Source organism: Homo sapiens, chromosome 16 (assembly GCF_000001405.40).
Source record: "Homo sapiens chromosome 16, GRCh38.p14 Primary Assembly".
NCBI lineage: Eukaryota > Metazoa > Chordata > Mammalia > Primates > Hominidae > Homo > Homo sapiens.
In genome coordinates, this window is record NC_000016.10 from 71521034 (window position 1) to 71539328 (window position 18295).

Sequence of the window (18295 nt, forward strand, 5' to 3'; positions counted from 1 at the left end):
TCTCTCTCTCTCTCTCTCTCTCTCTCTCTCTCTCTCTCTCTCACTCTCTGAGATGGAATTTCACTCTTGTTGCCCAGGCTGGAGTGCAATGGCATGACCTCAGCTCACCACAGCCTCCGCCTCCCAGGTTCAAGCGATTCTCCTGCCCCAGCCTCCCGAGTGGCTGGGATTACAGGCATGAGCCACCACACCCAGCTAATTTTGTATTTTTAGTAGAGATGGAGTTTCTCCATGTTGGTCAGGCTGGTCTCGAACTCCCGACCTCAGGTGATCCGCCCGCCTTGGCCTCCCAAAGTGCCGGGATTACAGGCATAAGCCACCATGCCCAGCCCAAAAATCTTGTTCCTTCAACCAAGCTGACTCCAGATGCTTTGCATTGTTTGGAGAAGTGGTGATGCAGTTTCTCAATGTCTAGAGTTTCAACAACACCCCTACCCTGGCCTCCACGTCACCATTGCCAAGAGTAAAGAGAGAGCACCCCAGCCTCTTCCAGCAGGTACTTCACACTGCCCTTCCCCAAGTTTTCAGTTTGGCCACCACTATCTTCCTGGAGGCCATCATTATCTGTTATTATTTCCTTTATCCTGGTTTATGCCAGTCACACAAGTAGCCCAGGATCCTCAGTTGTTCCTTATCCCTTGTGTTTCATCCCAAATGGCTCCAAATGTCTCATTTTCTGACCCCATTTCCCACCCTCCCCATCCCGACACCCTTGTTGGGATCCACAAAATCCATCTTTTCTCGAAGTGTCTTAATTTCCTCTTCACTTTCTTGCTCTAAAGGAAACTAGGTCTCCCTTGAAGACACTGCTTTCTCTGCAGTCCTCTCAAGTGGTGGCTGTTTCTTACACTCCACAATGGAATAAGTTTTCTTGTTCCTCATTGCTGCTTCCAGATTATTCTGGCTCCCTCCTTCCTAAACATTTCCAGCTTTCACTCTGATATTAACCAGACTATATGGCCCTCATTACAGTCATATGACCCCTGCCACTCTCCAACTCTACTCCTGGGACAATTCTACATGAACTCAATATCCTTAGAGATGATACTTTCAAAGCCCTGATGTCTCAAATCCTTGACCTCCTCACTCCCAAAAAACTTGCCCTCCAACTTAGTTCAGCTATAATCTTTCTGTCCTTCTTTCTCCTCTTAACCAGCTTAGATTCCATGGTTCATTATCATAATTACACCTTTGAATATCCCCTAGGCTCCCTTGCCTCTCTAATACTTCATTGTACTCTTCCAGAAAAGCAGAGGTCTTACTTAAATCTAACTCTCCACTTATCCCCACACAAGTAGTAGTAGCCGAACAGGGCTGGAAAAACTACACACCTCTGCTATCTGCTTTCATTTTAAGTTTATGACCACTCACCTTCGGCTTCACTCATCTATCTTACCTCATTACCCTAGCATAGTCACTAACGTATCCTCACAGGTGGCCACTCCATATCTTCCTCTCTCTTCAGGCTTCCATTAACTCCTTCCCCATCCTCAGACTCAGCTGACAACCTTATCCCCTCACTCACTAGGAAAATAAAAGCAATAAGAAGGGAGTTTCCACAAATTCCCAGCACATCATCTACCCACCTACCTGCAACCTCCACTCCCTGAGTTCAAGCTATTCTCCTGCCTCGGCCTCTCGAGTAGCTGGGATTACAGGTCTATGCCACCACACCTGGTGGATTTTTGTATTTTTAGTAGAGACACGGTTTCGCCATGTTGGCCAGGCTGGTCTCGAACTCCTGACCTCTGGCGATTCACCCACCTTGGCCTCCCAAAGTGCTGGGATTACAGGCGTGAGCCACCACACCTGGCCGAGAGACACCAACTCTTAAAAGGTGCCTAACTAAGCATCTCGAGGAATTTGTACTGTGTCTCTAATGAGCTCTTTTGTAGCATTTTCATCAGGGAAATGCTGGGGATCAGATCCATCCTAGGAAAGATCATTCTAGCTGCAGCATAGAGTGGGAAGGCTGGAGGGCATAAGATTGGGGATATGGGAAAAAGTGAGAGACTGTTGGCAGAAATTCAAGCAAAAAAAAAATTGAAAGGCAGACTGAAGACAGGGGCTGTTGACATATAAAGGAGGGCAAATTTGACAGCTATTTAAGGTTATTTTACCTTTAGACAGACATTGGTGATCAATGTGATACATGAGGTGACAGTCCACCGGAAGACACACTGATAGTCTCCCCAGATTTCATCCCCAGAAACTCCCTGACTAAATCATCACGGGTCACCTGAAGCAGTCTCTGACAGTTTTTGGAAGACCAGAGGTAGAATTTCAGGAGCCTGATTCCAGATAAAGCCACAATTATGCAGCAATGTTATGTTCCTGAACCATCAAAGACATATAAGGGATGCCTGAGTTTTACTAGGAGCTCCTGGCTCATTATTTCCTATTTTCCCATCCCCTCTGCCCTTCAAGGGAGCAACAAAAAAGCAAGAACCAGTGAAAAACTTAAAACTGTGTTCGTTTTTTCCCTAATCTATTCTAGTCCAACTTATTCTCCCACTGTTGAAACAAATATTTCTAACACAGATAAGGGACATCGTATTGCTGGGGGATTCCCTACACAGATGTCCACCACCAGGGCCCAGCTCAAGGAAGCAAGTTCTACTGAAAGCAATTACCCATTTGATAATAGGATTTACAGCAACCAAGATTTCCTTCCTGGCTTGCAGACACTTCTTCCGAAGGCGCTGGCTCCCTGTGATGCTAAGATCCAGTCTCTATAGACTTCAGAAACTTAGCCAAACTACAAAGCCCTCCAGAATCTATTCTCTAAACTCAGCCACTTAGCCAGTGACCTACTCAGGCCAGACACTGGCTTTGGTAAGCAAAACAGGGCTGGTGACCAATGTAGGGAGTGACATGTTCCTCAACAGTTTCAGGCCTGGACATCTGCATTGCAGGCTGATGCTTAGCGTAAAAAAATGAGGAATGCTAGAGCCCCCATAAGAAAAGAAACTCAAGGAAGCATCACTGTCCTTTCAGTGTCACTAGGGACAGAAAAGATATGTAGGTAAGTGTGGAAGTGAAGAAACTGCAATCTCATTTGGAGTGATGGTCAGGGTAAGGTAGCAGGAGTAGGTAGTATAACCAGCAGAAAGATCCTTTTGACCCCTGAGAAAATCAGAGTCTAGGTCAGTAGCTGACCCCAGGTCTCTTCACCACTCAGGTGGGTCCCCAGACAGTAAAGATGGTAAACTTCCAAGGGCAAAGATGAGATCAGCGACTCCGCTGAATAGTGGTCCCCAGGAGACAATTGTCTAAATCACTTCAAGTACACACAGCCTTTTGTACGGATTTTAAACTTGGGATTCCTTGGCATTGCACATGATTTTGTGTTTGTATATGAGCAATTGTACATTTTTCTACAGAGGTCTATATCTGTTATCAGATTTTGGAGACTCAAAAAGAAAAAGATTAGATCTCTTACTTGACTGCACGATCCAATATGGTTGCACTAGCACGTTTCAGGTGGACAGTGGCTACTGTATAGTGCAGATATGGAACATTTCCATCATCACAGAGACTGTTATTGGACAGTGCTGCCTTAGAGACGTGGGCTGCAGGACTTCCACAAGAAGGCCTGGATATCAGACACCAGCATTCAAATTTCTTCCCAGTGCTGTGGAATGTGGTAGACCCTTGGAAGTCCAGTATCTGAACATGCTGGTCACCACCGTATACTAGTGACCAGAGGATGCCTTTCTTCAGCTGCTTGGCATTCTGCCAGCATGAATTCCTAGCACGGGAAAGATGGCAGGTGATCTGAATTACTTGGGGTTATGGTGTATTTGAGTGACCTCACTATATTTGGGAAGGCGCTGGAAAAACACGAAAAGAATGTTAGAAAGGGCTGGAATAAAACTACAGGAGTCCCCTCTTTATCCACGGTTTTGTTTCCCAGTTTTAACTACTCATCATCAACCACGATTTGAAAATATTAAATGGGAAAATTACAGAAATAAACAGTTCATTTATTACATACTATTCTGAGTAGCATGATGAAGCCTTGTGCCATCTCGCTGTGTCGTGCCAGCACCTGAATCATCTCTTTGTGCATAAAAGCAAAACTACCGACTGCCCAGTTCTAGTGCTTCCAGTTACACCTCTGCCCAAAGTCCTTCACTGGAGGAAGAGAAATTTCTCTTCTCTCTGCCAGAGAGAAACAGGAAGGGAGGAAGAGCCACACAATTGAAATCAAGTCAAGGCAAGCACCACAGGTTCTTGTCATTTGTGCTTAGCGGACTTAGCTGATGGAAATCGGCAAAGATCATCCCAAAGCTCACACAACTCCCTGCCTGCTCTCTCTCTCTTCCAAGGTCTGGAAAAGGAAGTGGCAGCTGAGTTGCGGGGGTGGGTGGCGGTGGGAAGGTATTATTATTCAACCACTTTTTAACTCTTATATTGTCATATTATTGTGTTAGGAGCTTCATACGCATTAATCCTAACATTCACAACAATACTGTAAAATAGATATTGTTACCCTTATTTAACACCGATGATATTCTAGGGCTCAAAGAGGTGGTATGACTTGCCCGGCAAGATCTTGGACTTGAAAGTCTGAGGCTTCCATTCTCCACCACAATTTACGTTTATTCACGGGCATCCATTGTTTCAGACTCATGACAACCGTGTAAAGTAGCACGGAGTAGGTAAGTGATTTGCCCAAGGGCACACAGCAAGGGAGAGGTTGTAATCTTTAATGATAATTTGTTTCTTTTTTTCTTAAAGGGGACTTTTTTTTCTCCTGTACCACCAAGCCAGTACATCTATGTCCTCCCAGAAAATATTTATTACCTCTTGTAGCAAGGGTGAAGATATTGAATACAACACAGAGGCTGAGAAATGTTACCTCCCTAGACCCAGGGTGGAGTGAGCAGGCAGGTGTAATGCAAGAAATAACTTTCACATTTTCTCCTTGGAGATAAGAACAAGGTCTAAAAATCAGGTTTGAGATTTTGTAGCCTTTCGGCTTGTAAGTGTCATGAAATTTCCCTATCAGCCTCATCTACTAGCTCCCTGGGTCTCTCTCTCTCTCTTTCTCTTTTTCCCCACCTCCCCACTCTGCCCATAGGGAGTTGACCTTCACAGTTGCCTTTCAGTAGTCAACATGCCAGGATGCCTCCAGTCTGGGGGAAAATGCTTCCTCATTTGCTTCTCCCAGCCCACCTCAAGCAGTCTCCCCACCCCTTGAGTCTCAGCAGTGTTAAAGCTGTTACTTTCACAGCTTCCTGGGAGCGAGTGCTTTCTCAAGCCCGTCTTGCAAGGTGGGTCCTTTTTTGTTTTTGGCAGAAGGGAGGGACAGTGAAATGTGCTCTGAGTAGGGACGGTTATGCAAAAGCAAGTAGGAGGAGGAAGCCAAGAGGGGAGTTGGTGAGTCAGAGGAGAAAAGCGCATGGCCCGGCTAGCAGTGAGCCTCTCAAAAGCAGCAGGGAAGCCCAAGCCACAAGGTAAGAAGAGAATTTCTGTGTACGACTCCAATGCAGAGCCATTACCCAGAGCTGCTGGAGCAAGAGTATCAGATAACCTCTGGCAGCTAAGCTAGAGATTACAGTGGCGAAGGCGGTTTGCGCAGAGGGGATAAATCAGATCACCTGGGGAATTTTCTGGGTAAAATAAAACACAAGCTGCTTACCAGCAGCCCCCAAGCCCCACTAGCTCTATCCCTAAATGGGTCCAAAAGAGCCCAGAGAGCAGATCAGGCTGTTCTGATGTATATTTTGTAGATGGTCCCCTGGTGCCAACTGACTCGTTCAGATCCTGGCTTTGGAGCTCAAATTTCTGTACTTCCTGCAGCTTCTCCTCTGTTTTCTGCTGGGGAGTGGAAGACAGGAGGTGCAAGGAGCTGTAGGTTTTCTCTAGCTCAGGAGAGGGACAGTGTGATCATTGAAAATTCTCAGCCCTGGGATCCCCAAAACCTGGGTTCTGATCCAGAAAAGGCTATTTATACCGGATGAGCCAGTCAATTAAAGTTTAGTTTATTTATTCTGAAAAATGAAGAAATGTCTCATCACTGTCTAAAATATCTAACCGATCAGTATCATAATTGCAGCTAAAAGGGCTTTAAAAATGTGGAACACCACGCACATGTGCAATATGATTAAGTTATGGTGCCAACATATCAGCTATGGTAGAAGATACGTCTATCTTGCATGGCCTTGGACAAGTATGAAACTTCTAATTGGAATTGAAATACTTTTCTATGTGTAAAATAAATGTAATATTGTCGATGAAAAGAGTCAGACTCTGTGACATATTTGAAGAGATTTATTCTGAGCCAAATATGAGTGACCATGGCCGGTGACACAGCCCTCAGGAGGTCCTGAGAACATGTGTCTAAGGTGGTCGGGGTGCAGCTTGGTTTTATACACTTTAGGGAGACATGAGACTTCAATCAAATACATTTAAGAAATACATCTAGCCAGGCGCGATGGCTCGCGCCTGTAATCCCAGCACTTTGGGAAGCTGAGGCAGGTGGATCACCTGAGGCCAGGAGTTCAAGACCAGCCCGGCCAACATGGCGAAACCCTGTCTGTACTAAAAATACCAAAAAAATTAGCTGGGCATGGTGGCAGGCACCTGTAATCCCAGCTACTCAGGAGGCTGAGGCAGGAGAATCGCTTGAAACCGGGAGGCTGCAGTGAGCCGAGATCCTGCCATTGCACTCTAGCCTGGGCAACAAGAGCAAAACTCCATCTCAAAAAAGAAAAAAGAAAAGAAAAAAGTACGGGTCTGTCGCCCAGGCTGGAGTGCAGTGGTGCGATCTCGGCTCACTGCAACTGAGAGGAAGCCTTCAGATAGCAGGCTTCAGAGAGAATAGGTTGTAAAATGTTTCTTATCAGACTTAAGGTCTGTGTTGGTGTTAATGCTGGAGAGGTATGATGAGGCATGTTAGATCCCCACTTCTTGTCATGGCCTGAAACAGTCTCTCAGGTTAAATTTTAAAAAGACCCCTGGCTGGGCACAGTGGCTCATGGGTGTAATCACAGCACTATTAGGAGACTGAGGTCACTTGAGGTCAGGAGTTCGAGACCTGCCTGGCCAACATGGCAAAACCATGTCTGTACTAAAAATACAAAAAATTAGCCAGGTCACTCGGGAGGCTGAGGCAGGAGAAGCGCTTGAACCTGAGGAGTCGAGGTTGCAGTGAGCTGAGATCGTGCCACTGCACTCCAGCCTGGACAACAGAGCAAGACTTCATTTCAAAAAAAAAAAAAAAAAAAAGAGTCCTGGCTGAGGAGGAAGTCCTTTCAGATGGTTGGGGGGCCTTAGAATTTTATTTTTGGTTTATAATATCTTGCTCAATCTTCCTTTCTGGGTCTCATATAGTAAAAAAAAAAACACTGTACAAATATATGTTCACTTGTCATTTGTTGAAAGATGTTCCTTGAGCACCTACTATGTGCCATGCACTGTCCTTGGCACTAGTGACACAGCCCTGGCGGGACCCAGGTCCAATCCTCCTGACACTGTCTAGGAAGAGTTTGTTATATGGACACCCTTTACCCAGGTGCCTAGCTTCAGAGGTTTTCCAGGTCTTCAGGCTGCTTGTGAGGATGCCAGTTTCCCCAATCCAACCCCATTCTCTCTCTCTTTGCTCAAGGTATCTTCTGCTGTATCTAATTTCTACTTGTAAGGGGCATAATCTCATGGGAAGTGTAAGTTAGGAATGCATCCAGTGGCTGGAACCCAGACTTCTTAAATTAGTATCTATCTGGTTTTTTTCCCCCTCAGAATTTCCCATTTTGTCTCTACGAGGCTACATGGTACCGATTTGGGGGACATCTATAATTCAGCCCACTCTAATCAGCTGCTGCTTGAGGTCACCCATCTGGCACCTTCGTGGTTCCTGTGCCAAACATAGATTCTCCCTTCTCACCACCCTTTGGTGGCGTTTTCAAGTTCCTAAGGTTCTCTTGACTCCTCAGAAATGGCTGTCCTTTGTGTTTTAAGATGATACCGTTCACCCATCGTTGGGGCAACATTTTTTTAAATTAATTTTTTGGGGTGGTGATGATGGAATGTGCTGAGTTTGGGTTTTTTGTTTTGTTTTTGTTTTTTGTTTTTTTTTTTTTGCTTTTGCTTTGTTAGCCTAGTAACTGAGCTGATTCAAGCAAGGTAGCCTATCACCCAGCAATGAGGCTTTTATTTTTTAAATGTTTTCTAAAACTAATTTTCATACAGGAAGAGAAAAATAATTTCCCTCCTGGTTTTAATTAATGCATGCTTGGTATAGTAACTGTTTTTTGGACCAAGGGTTACTGTGCCATACTGCATCTAACCCATGCCTCTGACTTTATTAGTAGCTTGGTCCAAGTAACTGAGACGGCATGGGTAATGTGCTCACTGTTCCATGCAATCACCTAAATTTTAGTCACTGATGCTGAAGAGTGTCCGTGTGCATTTCAGAAAAGGATACTTATGTTTCATTCTCTTGAAGGAGCTCCTTTAGTTTTCTGCTTTCTAGCAATTACTGTGCCTCTTCCCATGCTCATCTATTTTTTTTTTTTTTTTTTTTTTTTTTTTTTTGAGACCAAGTTTCGCTCTGTTGACCAGGCTGGAGTGCAGCGGTGTGATCTTGATCAGGAGATCAAGCCCACACTCATCTATTTACTCACTTACTCATTTATTTAGCAAGTGTTTAATGAGCCGAGCCCTGATCATTTGTAGAATTGTTATGTACGTGTAAGTAAGATAAGATACAGCCTTTCCCTTAAGCTATAGTGGCCCAGAGAAAAGAGAGGCACCCATACAGGCTTTTACTGTCAAAAGGGATGGCTGCTAACAGAAGGTCTGGGAAACAAATTAATCTCAAGAGGGGGCTGGGCGCGGTGCTTCACACCTGTGATCCCAGCACTTTGGCAGGCCGAGGCGGGAGAATCACCTGAGGTCAGGGGTTCGAGACCAGCCTGACCAACATGGCGAATCCCCATTTCCACTAGAAATACAAAAATTAGCTGGGCGTGGCTGTAATCCCAGCTCCTGGGGAGGCTGAGGCAGGAGAATCGCTTGAATCTAGGAGGCAGAGGTTGCGGTGAGCTGAGATCATGCCACTGCACTCCAGCCTGGGCGACAGAGCAAGACTCTGTCTAAAAAATAAAATTAAAAAAAAAAAGTCTCAGGAGAAAGAGACAGAACTTCTTTCAGGGAGAAGGCAGGCTCTCCCTTTCAGGGAGAAGGCAGGTTAGATTCTTGAAGGAATAGTAGCTGTCCTGCAAAAATCTCAGGGCTTTTAAATAACAGGGCAAGTTTGGAAGAACTGAAAGTCGGGAGCCTAAGGCACTAAAACAGAAGGGAGTGACAGGAAATCAAGACCAGGCCATGAAGGACCCCAGGTGCGAGGTGTGGGGATGTTTATTTAATCCCATATACACTGGAAATTTATTGAAGGATTTTTAAGCAGGAAGTTGATAGACTTATGCTTTAAAAAGATATTTTGGCCAGGTGCGGTGGCTCACACCTGTAATCCCAGCACTTTGGGAGGCCAAGGCTGGAAGGTGGCTTGAGGTCAGGAGTTTGACACCAGCCTGGGCAATATAGTGAGGGCCAGTCTCTAGTAAAAAATGAAAAAATTATCTGGGTGTGATTGGACACACCTGTGATCCCAGCTACTGGGGAGGCTGAGACAGGAGGATCGAAAATCACTTGAGCCCAGGAGTTCAAGGCTGCAGTGAGCTATGATCATGCCACTGTACTCCACCCTGGGCAACAGAGTGAGACCCCCGACTCTAAAAAAGGAAAAAAAAGATTTTGGGCCAGGCGTGGTGGCTCACACCTGTAATCCCAGCACTTTGGGAGGCCGAGGCAGGTGGATCACTTGAGGTTAGGAGTTTGAGACCAGCCTGGCCAACATGGCGAAACCCTGTCTCTACTAAAAACACAAAAATTAGCTGGGCACGGTGGTGGGCACCTGTAATCCCAGCCACCTGGGAGGCTGAGGCACAGGAATCACTTGAACCCAGGAGGCAGAAGTTGCAGTGAGCTGAGATCACTGACAGAGTGAGACTCTGTCCCAAAAGAATAAATAGTAATTTAAAAAAAATGAAAAAGGTAGTTTTTGGCAGCAGTGGGTCATGGGGAGATGCTGAGAGACAGAAGAGAAAGGTCGATGTCAAAGGCCACCCTAGACACAAACAGCTGGGAATTCTGGCAATGGGAGAGTGGGATTCGAGGACACTATTGAAGAGTCTCCTTCCATGAAGCGCCCTGGTGACTCGCATCACCTCGCTTCTGCCAGGGCCCAGGAGCATCTGCCTCTGCTGCTCATTACAGTCTTCAGAAATGAGTTTTGCCCAAGACACATCCTAAAGTATCCCCTGGCTCTCTGGTCAGCCCATTGTGTGTCGTCTAGATCCAGATGTGTCTTGGGGCTCAGTGACAAGGGATGGGACTTGCTTCACAAAAGCTACGCTTTCTACCCAGGGCAAGTGCTCACAGAAAGAAAAAGAAGTCAGAGGATTTCCATGGGAGTTCCTGAGAACCGTGGACAACTAACACCTGGGAACAACTGGGGGCAGTTAGGAGGCCCAGCTCCAGCTTGGGGAGGAAACGGGCTTCAGGCCAGCAGCAGTTGGCAGGCAAGGAGGGTCCAGAGTCACCAAGCCCCGCACAGGACACAGAACTGGCCCCAAGCAGGATGGAGGGAGGGAGGGTGTCACTTTGAAAGGTCTATTCTCCTAATCCCTAGGAAATGTTAGCTTTTTCCTAATTATAAGCCCTGCTTATAAAATTCTATCACCATTTCCTTATAACTGTATACAGGATAAGTTCTTCTCATTTTCCTCTCTTTTTGGTTTTGCTCCATTGCTTCCTATTTTTGTTCCAAACTTTTTCTCATACTCACATTGCCCTTAGGAGAAGCTCTTTTGCTAAAGTCACCTCTTCAGTCTTTGCGGGGAGGGAGGACATCCTTGGGCCAAGATCAGTAATAGCTTAGTTTCTAATCATTTTCCTCTTGCACTCAAGTTTTAAGAACTAGCAGCACATCTTAGCTGGTCCTGTTGTTTTTTTTTTTTTTTTTGAGATGGAGTCTCGCTCTGTCGCCCAGGCTGGAGTGCAGTGGCGCGATCTCGGCTCACTGCAAGCTCTGCCTCCTGGGTTCACGCCGTTCTCCTGCTTCAGCCTCCCGAGTAGCTGGGACTATAGGTGCCCGCCACCACGCCTGGCTAATTTTTTGTATTTTTAGTAGAGACGGGGTTTCACCGTGTTAGCCAGGATGGTCTCGATCTCCTGACCTCGTGATCCACCCACCTTGGCCTCCCAAAGTGCTGGGATTACAGACGTGAGCCACCATGCCCGGCCTAGCTGGTCCTGTTCTAATCTGCAGGGCTAAGACTACAGGGCAGGAATTACCAGTCATTGACATTTTCTGCCGTACAGCAAGTGATTTTCAGCCATGATGATGAGATGATCCTCATTGGATCTTTTTGGCACATCCAGAGGAAAAGCACTGTTATTATGAATGGAAGATAAGGGGTTTTTCTGCTATTGCCACCCAAGGTTTGGCTTGAGTCATTACATACTTCCCAGAAGGTTCAGGGGACTTCCAAGGAAAACCCACGAGCTGGCAAAGCATGCTTTCCCTTCAGGAAGAAAGCTATAAATGCCAAGAGTCTCCTTTGTGGCTACCCAATTTCTCTCCTAAAATCTACTCTCACAGGTCTCTGGAGCCCTGGACGTAGAGAATAGTTTCTGATCAGTATGAAGGCTACCTTCATACATGTGTGATCTTACATACATGTGTGACGGTGTGTGAACATAAAGGTCATCACTGAAGCACTTGAAATGGCAAAAGATTGGAAACAACTCATAAGCCCATCCATCAATGAGGAAACTGATTAAATAAACTGTGGTTAATCCATATAATACTTCTTCGAAGCAACAATGAATGAGGAACTACTTTACGAACTGCCCTGGAATGCTCCCTAAGACATATTGACAACTAAAAATAAAGGGCAGCACAGAACAGATAACTTGAAATTTTTTTTTGATTTTTTTTTGCATTTTAAAGAGGAAAAAAATTAAGAACACATACACATTTGAATGTTCTTGTGTACACATAAAGCAACTGAAAAGACACATTAAAAATGAACTCAGGCCAGGCACAGTGGCTCATGCCTATATAATCCCAGCACTTTGGGAGGCTGAGGCGGGCAGACAACTTGAGGTCAGGAGTTCGAGACCAGCCTGGCTAACATGGTGAAACCTCGTTTCTACTAAAAATACAAAAATTAGCCGGGCGTGGTGGTGTGCGCCTGTAGTCTCACCTACTCAGGGGGCTGAGGCAGGAGAATCACTTGAACCCGGGAGGCAGAGGTTTCAGTCAACCGAGATCGCGCCAGTGTGTACTGCAGCCTGGGCAACAGAGCAAGACTCTGTCTCAAAAAAAAAAAAAAACAAAAAAAAAAACGTAGTTGCTATGTGCGGCAAGTTGAGAAATGGGCAGGTGAGGTCAGGTGCTGGAAGTAGACTTTTCACTGTACATTGATGACAAAACACCAGCTAGCAGATAAATAGCAGCTGTCAGTACGTAAAAAAGAGGGGACTGATTTGTCAGCTAGTAAAATTCTTAGGTTTTCTTTCCTCTGGAAAAATACTATGACCCCTTTAAAGATATGTCATTACCCATGTTTACAAATAGCTCTAGAAGTTTCCTAATTTCTGACTACAGGCCTCCCTCACAGGCACAAGCGCTTGTCATAAGATTTCCCCTCCAGGCTGGGCATGGGGGCTCACACTTGTAATCCCTGCATTTTTGGGAGGCTGAGGCAGGCGGATCACAAGGTCAGGAGATCAAGACCATCCCAGTCAACATGGTGAAGCCCCATCTCTACTAAAATACAAAAAATTAGCTGAGCCTGGTGGCACGTGCCTATAGTCCCAGCTACTCAGGAGGCTGAGGCAGGGGAATCACTTGAACCTGGGAGGAGGAGGTTGCAGTGAGCTGAGATCAGGCCACTGCACTTCAGCCTGGTGACAGAGCAAGACCCCATCTCAAAAAAAAAAAAAAAAAGATTTCCCCTCCCCAGTGACATATGTTAAAAGCCTGGGGTGTGTCAGGCTGGCTGCAGGCTGGCAGGCACTCCTTTCCCTCCTGCATACAGAATCTGAGAAAACGCTTGTTTTAAATTCTGAGTCTGTAGAAACTTTTCAAAATAATTTGAATCATGTGACTATTACCTATTAAAAACTTTTTAGGCTGAGCACGGTGGCTCATGCCTGTAATCCTAGCACTTTGGGAGGCTGAGGCAGGAAGATTGTTTGAGGCCAAGAGTTCAAGATCTGACTGGGCAACATTTCTTTCTTTTTTTTTTTTTTTTTTTCTTTTTTGAGATGGAGTTTTGCTCTTGTTGCCCAGGCTAGAGTGCAATGGCACAATCTCGGCTCACTGCAATCTCTGCCTTTCTGATTCAAGTGATTCTCCTACCTCAGCCTCCCACGTAGCTGGGATTACAGGCACCAGCCAACACGTCCAGCTAATTTTTGTATTTTTAGCAGAGGCAGGCATTCACCATGTTGGCCAGGCTGGTCTCAAACTCCTGACCTCATATGATCCACCCGCCTCGGCCTCCAAAAGTGTTGGGACTACAGGCATGAGCCACTGTGCTCAGCCATGAGCAACATTTCAAGACCTTGTCTCTGCAAAAATAAATAAATAAATAATAAAAACTTTTTAAATAATTGGTATAAGACCTGCCACCACAAAAACAGCTGACCCCCAAATCCAGCCCCACTTACCATCTGGAAATCTAGCCTCTATTTTTTACTAAAGCTGGAAGGGAGAATTTCTTGTGTACATGGTGATATACAAATGAACACCTTACTACTACTATGAATATTTTACAATGTGCAATAGCTATTCTCTCTCCCAATAGTTATTTATGTCAGAAGGTCACCCAGAATGACAAAGTCATGTGGGAAGGAGGTTAAAATATCCTTTGGAATAACATTCTAGCATACCACTGGGAACCGTGGTCCTTTCACACGAAGCAAGCCCTGATTGCAAAATGTTGCCATCAGTCAGTATGAGACAGTACGAATCACAAAGTGAGACCCTTTCTCTAGATATTTACTGTCTATCAACTGGAAAACCATCTTAATATACTTATTTTTTGTTTTATTTTGTTATATTTGTGGGTTTTTTTGGAGATGGAGTCTCAGCCTTTCACCCAGGCTGGAGTGCAGTGGCGCGATCTCGGCTTACTACAACCTCTGTCTCCCAGGTTCAGACGATTCCCCTGCCTCAGCCTCCCAAGTAGCTGGGACTATAGGCGTGTGCCAACACACTCAGCTAATTTTTGCATTTTTAGTAGAGACAGGGTTTTGCCATGTTGGCCAGGCTGGTCTCAAATTCCTGACCTCAAGTGATCTGCCCAGCTCAGTCTCCCAAAGTGCTGGGATTACAGGCATGAGCCACTGCACCTGGCCTTAATATACTTATTTTGTTGGACCAAGATACTTTACTATCACCTACAAAAAACATTTTGAAAATAAATATCTAAATTCTTGATGGGATGGCACTCCCTAGGGTTGTGTGATACACACTTGCCCAACTGCACTGAGCTGCCTTGAGTAGGTTGTCCCACGTAATCAAGTATGCCTCAAGCAGCAGTGTGGGAGTCATGGGCCACAAGTGTCCCCAGTGAGAGTGATACAGTTCTGAGATCTGTAGCACTTAGGTTGGCTTGCCACACTTTCTTAGAGTTGGCAGGTAAGGAGACACTAATAGCTCAAATAACTCTAATTCAGCTCAAATAGATTCAGATAGTTTATTACCTACACAGATACAAGGTCGACATTGGATCAACTCCCCATGGCCTTGGTCCCATGGGATGACACCAAATCAGAAGGATTTGCTATCTAGGGCAAGGTGAGAAATGGGCAGGTGAGGTCAGGTGCTAGACGTAGACTTTTCACTCTACACTGATGGCAAAACACCAGCTAGCAGATAAATAGATGACAGGCACCATGAGCACCTGGCTCTGCCTTTGAGGAGACAATTCCAACTAAAGCCAAGCAGTTGCACAGCCTGCAGCCCTATCTTTTGAGGGACTGGAGTGGAAAGTCCTGTGCTTAACTGCAGTGAGGGAGGGAGATGAGACACAGTCTTGGTTGCAGTCTCCCTTATGATGGAGGGATGGCTAAGCAGTGGCTTCGAGGCAGTTCTTCACTAGGTAGCTTATCTCCCTCTGTCTCTGCAGGAATCACAAGCCATTCCTCCAAGACTTGAGTCAGACTGAGGTGACGCCTCCCCTGGGTGGCCTGTCTGAAGACATCCTTGTCATCAGGGCACCATGATGGAGACATTTCCTTATGTTGATTAAATATGGTTGAGTTCAGATATTTTTGGTAAACCAATGGGCAACGTGGCTTGGTTTAGAAAGACCAGGAAGGAGGAATTAAAGACCCTGAAGGAGAACATATCAACACACTAAGTGTAAGGGACAGGAAATGATTTGGAGAAGGACTGGTGCCATTGTTGGCACGAATCCTCTGGCTTTCCATGTTGCTCCTTGGTAGGGGGTCAGAGAGCAGGTGGCTTTGGCCAGAAGGGGAATAGAAGGCAAACAATAAAACAGCAGCCCAACTCCACCCTTTCTGTTTGTTCCTTAAAGGTCTTCCACTTCAGCACAATGCTACTGCCTAAAAAAATGAAGCTCCTGCTGTTTCTGGTTTCCCAGATGGCCATCTTGGCTCTATTCTTCCACATGTACAGCCACAACATCAGCTCCCTGTCTATGAAGGCACAGCCCGAGCGCATGCACGTGCTGGTTCTGTCTTCCTGGCGCTCTGGCTCTTCTTTTGTGGGGCAGCTTTTTGGGCAGCACCCAGATGTTTTCTACCTGATGGAGCCCGCCTGGCACGTGTGGATGACCTTCAAGCAGAGCACCGCCTGGATGCTGCACATGGCTGTGCGGGATCTGATACGGGCCGTCTTCTTGTGCGACATGAGCGTCTTTGATGCCTACATGGAACCTGGTCCCCGGAGACAGTCCAGCCTCTTTCAGTGGGAGAACAGCCGGGCCCTGTGTTCTGCACCTGCCTGTGACATCATCCCACAAGATGAAATCATCCCCCGGGCTCACTGCAGGCTCCTGTGCAGTCAACAGCCCTTTGAGGTGGTGGAGAAGGCCTGCCGCTCCTACAGCCACGTGGTGCTCAAGGAGGTGCGCTTCTTCAACCTGCAGTCCCTCTACCCGCTGCTGAAAGACCCCTCCCTCAACCTGCATATCGTGCACCTGGTCCGGGACCCCCGGGCCGTGTTCCGTTCCCGAGAACGCACAAAGGGAGATCTCATGATTGACAGTCGCATTGTGATGGGGCAGCATGAGCAAAAACTCAAGAAGGAGGACCAACCCTACTATGTGATGCAGGTCATCTGCCAAAGCCAGCTGGAGATCTACAAGACCATCCAGTCCTTGCCCAAGGCCCTGCAGGAACGCTACCTGCTTGTGCGCTATGAGGACCTGGCTCGAGCCCCTGTGGCCCAGACTTCCCGAATGTATGAATTCGTGGGATTGGAATTCTTGCCCCATCTTCAGACCTGGGTGCATAACATCACCCGAGGCAAGGGCATGGGTGACCACGCTTTCCACACAAATGCCAGGGATGCCCTTAATGTCTCCCAGGCTTGGCGCTGGTCTTTGCCCTATGAAAAGGTTTCTCGACTTCAGAAAGCCTGTGGCGATGCCATGAATTTGCTGGGCTACCGCCACGTCAGATCTGAACAAGAACAGAGAAACCTGTTGCTGGATCTTCTGTCTACCTGGACTGTCCCTGAGCAAATCCACTAAGAGGGTTGAGAAGGCTTTGCTGCCACCTGGTGTCAGCCTCAGTCACTTTCTCTGAATGCTTCTGAGCCTTGCCTACATCTCTGAGCCTTAACTACATGTCTGTGGGTATCACACTGAGTGTGAGTTGTGTCCACACGTGCTCAAGCAGAAGGACTTTTGTGTCCATGCTTGTGTCTAGAAAACAGACTGGGGAACCTTATGTGAGCAGCACATCCCACCAGTGAAACAGGGTATTGCTCTTCTTCTTTTCTTGATCTTCCTGTCTGGGCAGACTTCAGAGACTTTGTGGCCTGGAGGCCTATTAAGCACGACACAGTATCAGTGGAATTGATCCATAAACCTCCCTGTCCACATCTTGCCCAATGGGGAATGGATCTTTCACCAAAGAGCTCACCAGCATTTTCCACAGAGATGCAAATTCTGAGCCCTTGGAGTTCCCAGTGGATTCAAGGAAGGAAGTGGGAACAAGGTTGGATGCCTACTTATGAGCTTGACCATCACAGCTATCGGTAATCAGAAATATGAAACAAAATCTCTGCACAAAAGAGCAAGCTCTTAAGTTCACAGGGTGCCTGGGCTGCATTTGAATATCACTTCCCCTCTGCATTTTCCCATCACATAGAAGACTTTGACCTGTGAAGCTGCCATCTGTTAATACTAAAATTCCCAAATAAGGTTCTGTTTAGAATGTCCCTTTTTATGCTTCTTAATTATTAGCAGTAAATGTTCATTTTTATGGGATCCTAAGCTAAGAATAGATGTAATCATCTTTATTGGTTTTTTAAAACACCTTTGCTATTATCTATCACCCATTTATACAGAAAATTGCTAAGATAATATTTGGTTTCAGATGATGAACTAAGTCTATACCCTCTTAAGAATTGGTGGAAAATAGACAATTAGCAGCTAAGCCCTTTCTTTCTTGTGTGAGGTATAAGTTGTGATAACGCCATATGTGTCACCCTAGGGTCTGGGAAGAGAGTTCTTTTACTCTGATCCCTCAGCCAGAGGACCTCAGTTCTAGTATGACTGGTGCTATTTAGCTCCTCCTGGCCACTTCTCCTAATAAGAAAAGTTGTTACTCCCGATCTCGGCAGGAGCCCCCAGATCTAGTTTTACAATAGAATTTCACCTGTTAAAAAATGCAGATTGCCAGGCACTACCACAAATCTGCTAGAATCAGAATCCCCCAGTATGGGGGCTGGAGTTCTGGTGACTCTTCCATGGCTAGCCTGGCACTAGCGCACCTTGCACCAGGCAGCAACACTGTTCGCCTTCTTGCTCTAAGAAAGGTGATTCTTCCACAAATGCAGAGTATGTATGCCACTTGCTCTTGCCACTGGTGCTGTCCTTGGGTTGGAAAGAATAGAAAGAAGCTCCCTATATGTCTGGAATTCCATGGACCTCTGAGTCCTGACTTTTAAATGTTTCACTTTGTCCAAGTCTGAGAGATTGTGTCATTTTCTCTTTCTTTTTGTTTCCACCTTTTG

At 46.1% G+C, this 18295-nt stretch overlaps 1 protein-coding gene across 2 annotated transcripts, besides 3 other annotated features; it reads left to right on the plus strand.

The window, feature by feature from the left end:
- Positions 5026–5636: an enhancer, noted in NCBI's record as "OCT4-NANOG-H3K27ac-H3K4me1 hESC enhancer chr16:71559962-71560572 (GRCh37/hg19 assembly coordinates)". NCBI's record gives its function as "activates a minimal SCP1, AML or CMV promoter by ChIP-STARR-seq in naive H9 embryonic stem cells {active_cell/tissue: H9 hESC(naive)}" and the evidence as "EXISTENCE:reporter gene assay evidence [ECO:0000049][PMID:30033119]".
- CHST4 (carbohydrate sulfotransferase 4) lies at positions 5087–17715 on the plus strand. Of its 2 annotated transcripts, none has more exons than NM_005769.2 (2): positions 5087–5279; positions 15627–17557. In NM_005769.2, exon 2 carries the CDS (start codon positions 15645–15647, stop codon positions 16803–16805), a length of 1161 nt encoding a protein of 386 aa, NP_005760.1. In that variant the 5' UTR covers positions 5087–5279; positions 15627–15644; the 3' UTR covers positions 16806–17557. The 2 variants fall into 2 exon arrangements, with proteins under 2 accessions (NP_005760.1, NP_001159867.1); NM_001166395.2 differs by lacking the exon at positions 5087–5279 and adding an exon at positions 5393–5462 and having other exon boundaries at positions 15627–17715.
- Positions 16653–16947: a silencer, noted in NCBI's record as "tiled region #3479; K562 Repressive DNase unmatched - State 12:CtcfO". NCBI's record gives its function as "represses a minimal TATA promoter and a strong SV40 promoter by Sharpr-MPRA in K562 cells {active_cell/tissue: K562}" and the evidence as "EXISTENCE:reporter gene assay evidence [ECO:0000049][PMID:27701403]".
- Positions 16796–16865: a silencer, noted in NCBI's record as "silent region_7680". NCBI's record gives its function as "represses an Ori minimal core promoter by ATAC-STARR-seq in GM12878 lymphoblastoid cells {active_cell/tissue: GM12878}" and the evidence as "EXISTENCE:reporter gene assay evidence [ECO:0000049][PMID:35858748]".

Bases quoted from the DNA above. Each gene is read 5' to 3' on its own strand.
- CHST4 (NM_005769.2), top strand. From the start codon at position 15,645: ATGCTACTGCCTAAAAAAATGAAGCTCCTGCTGTTTCTGGTTTCCCAG.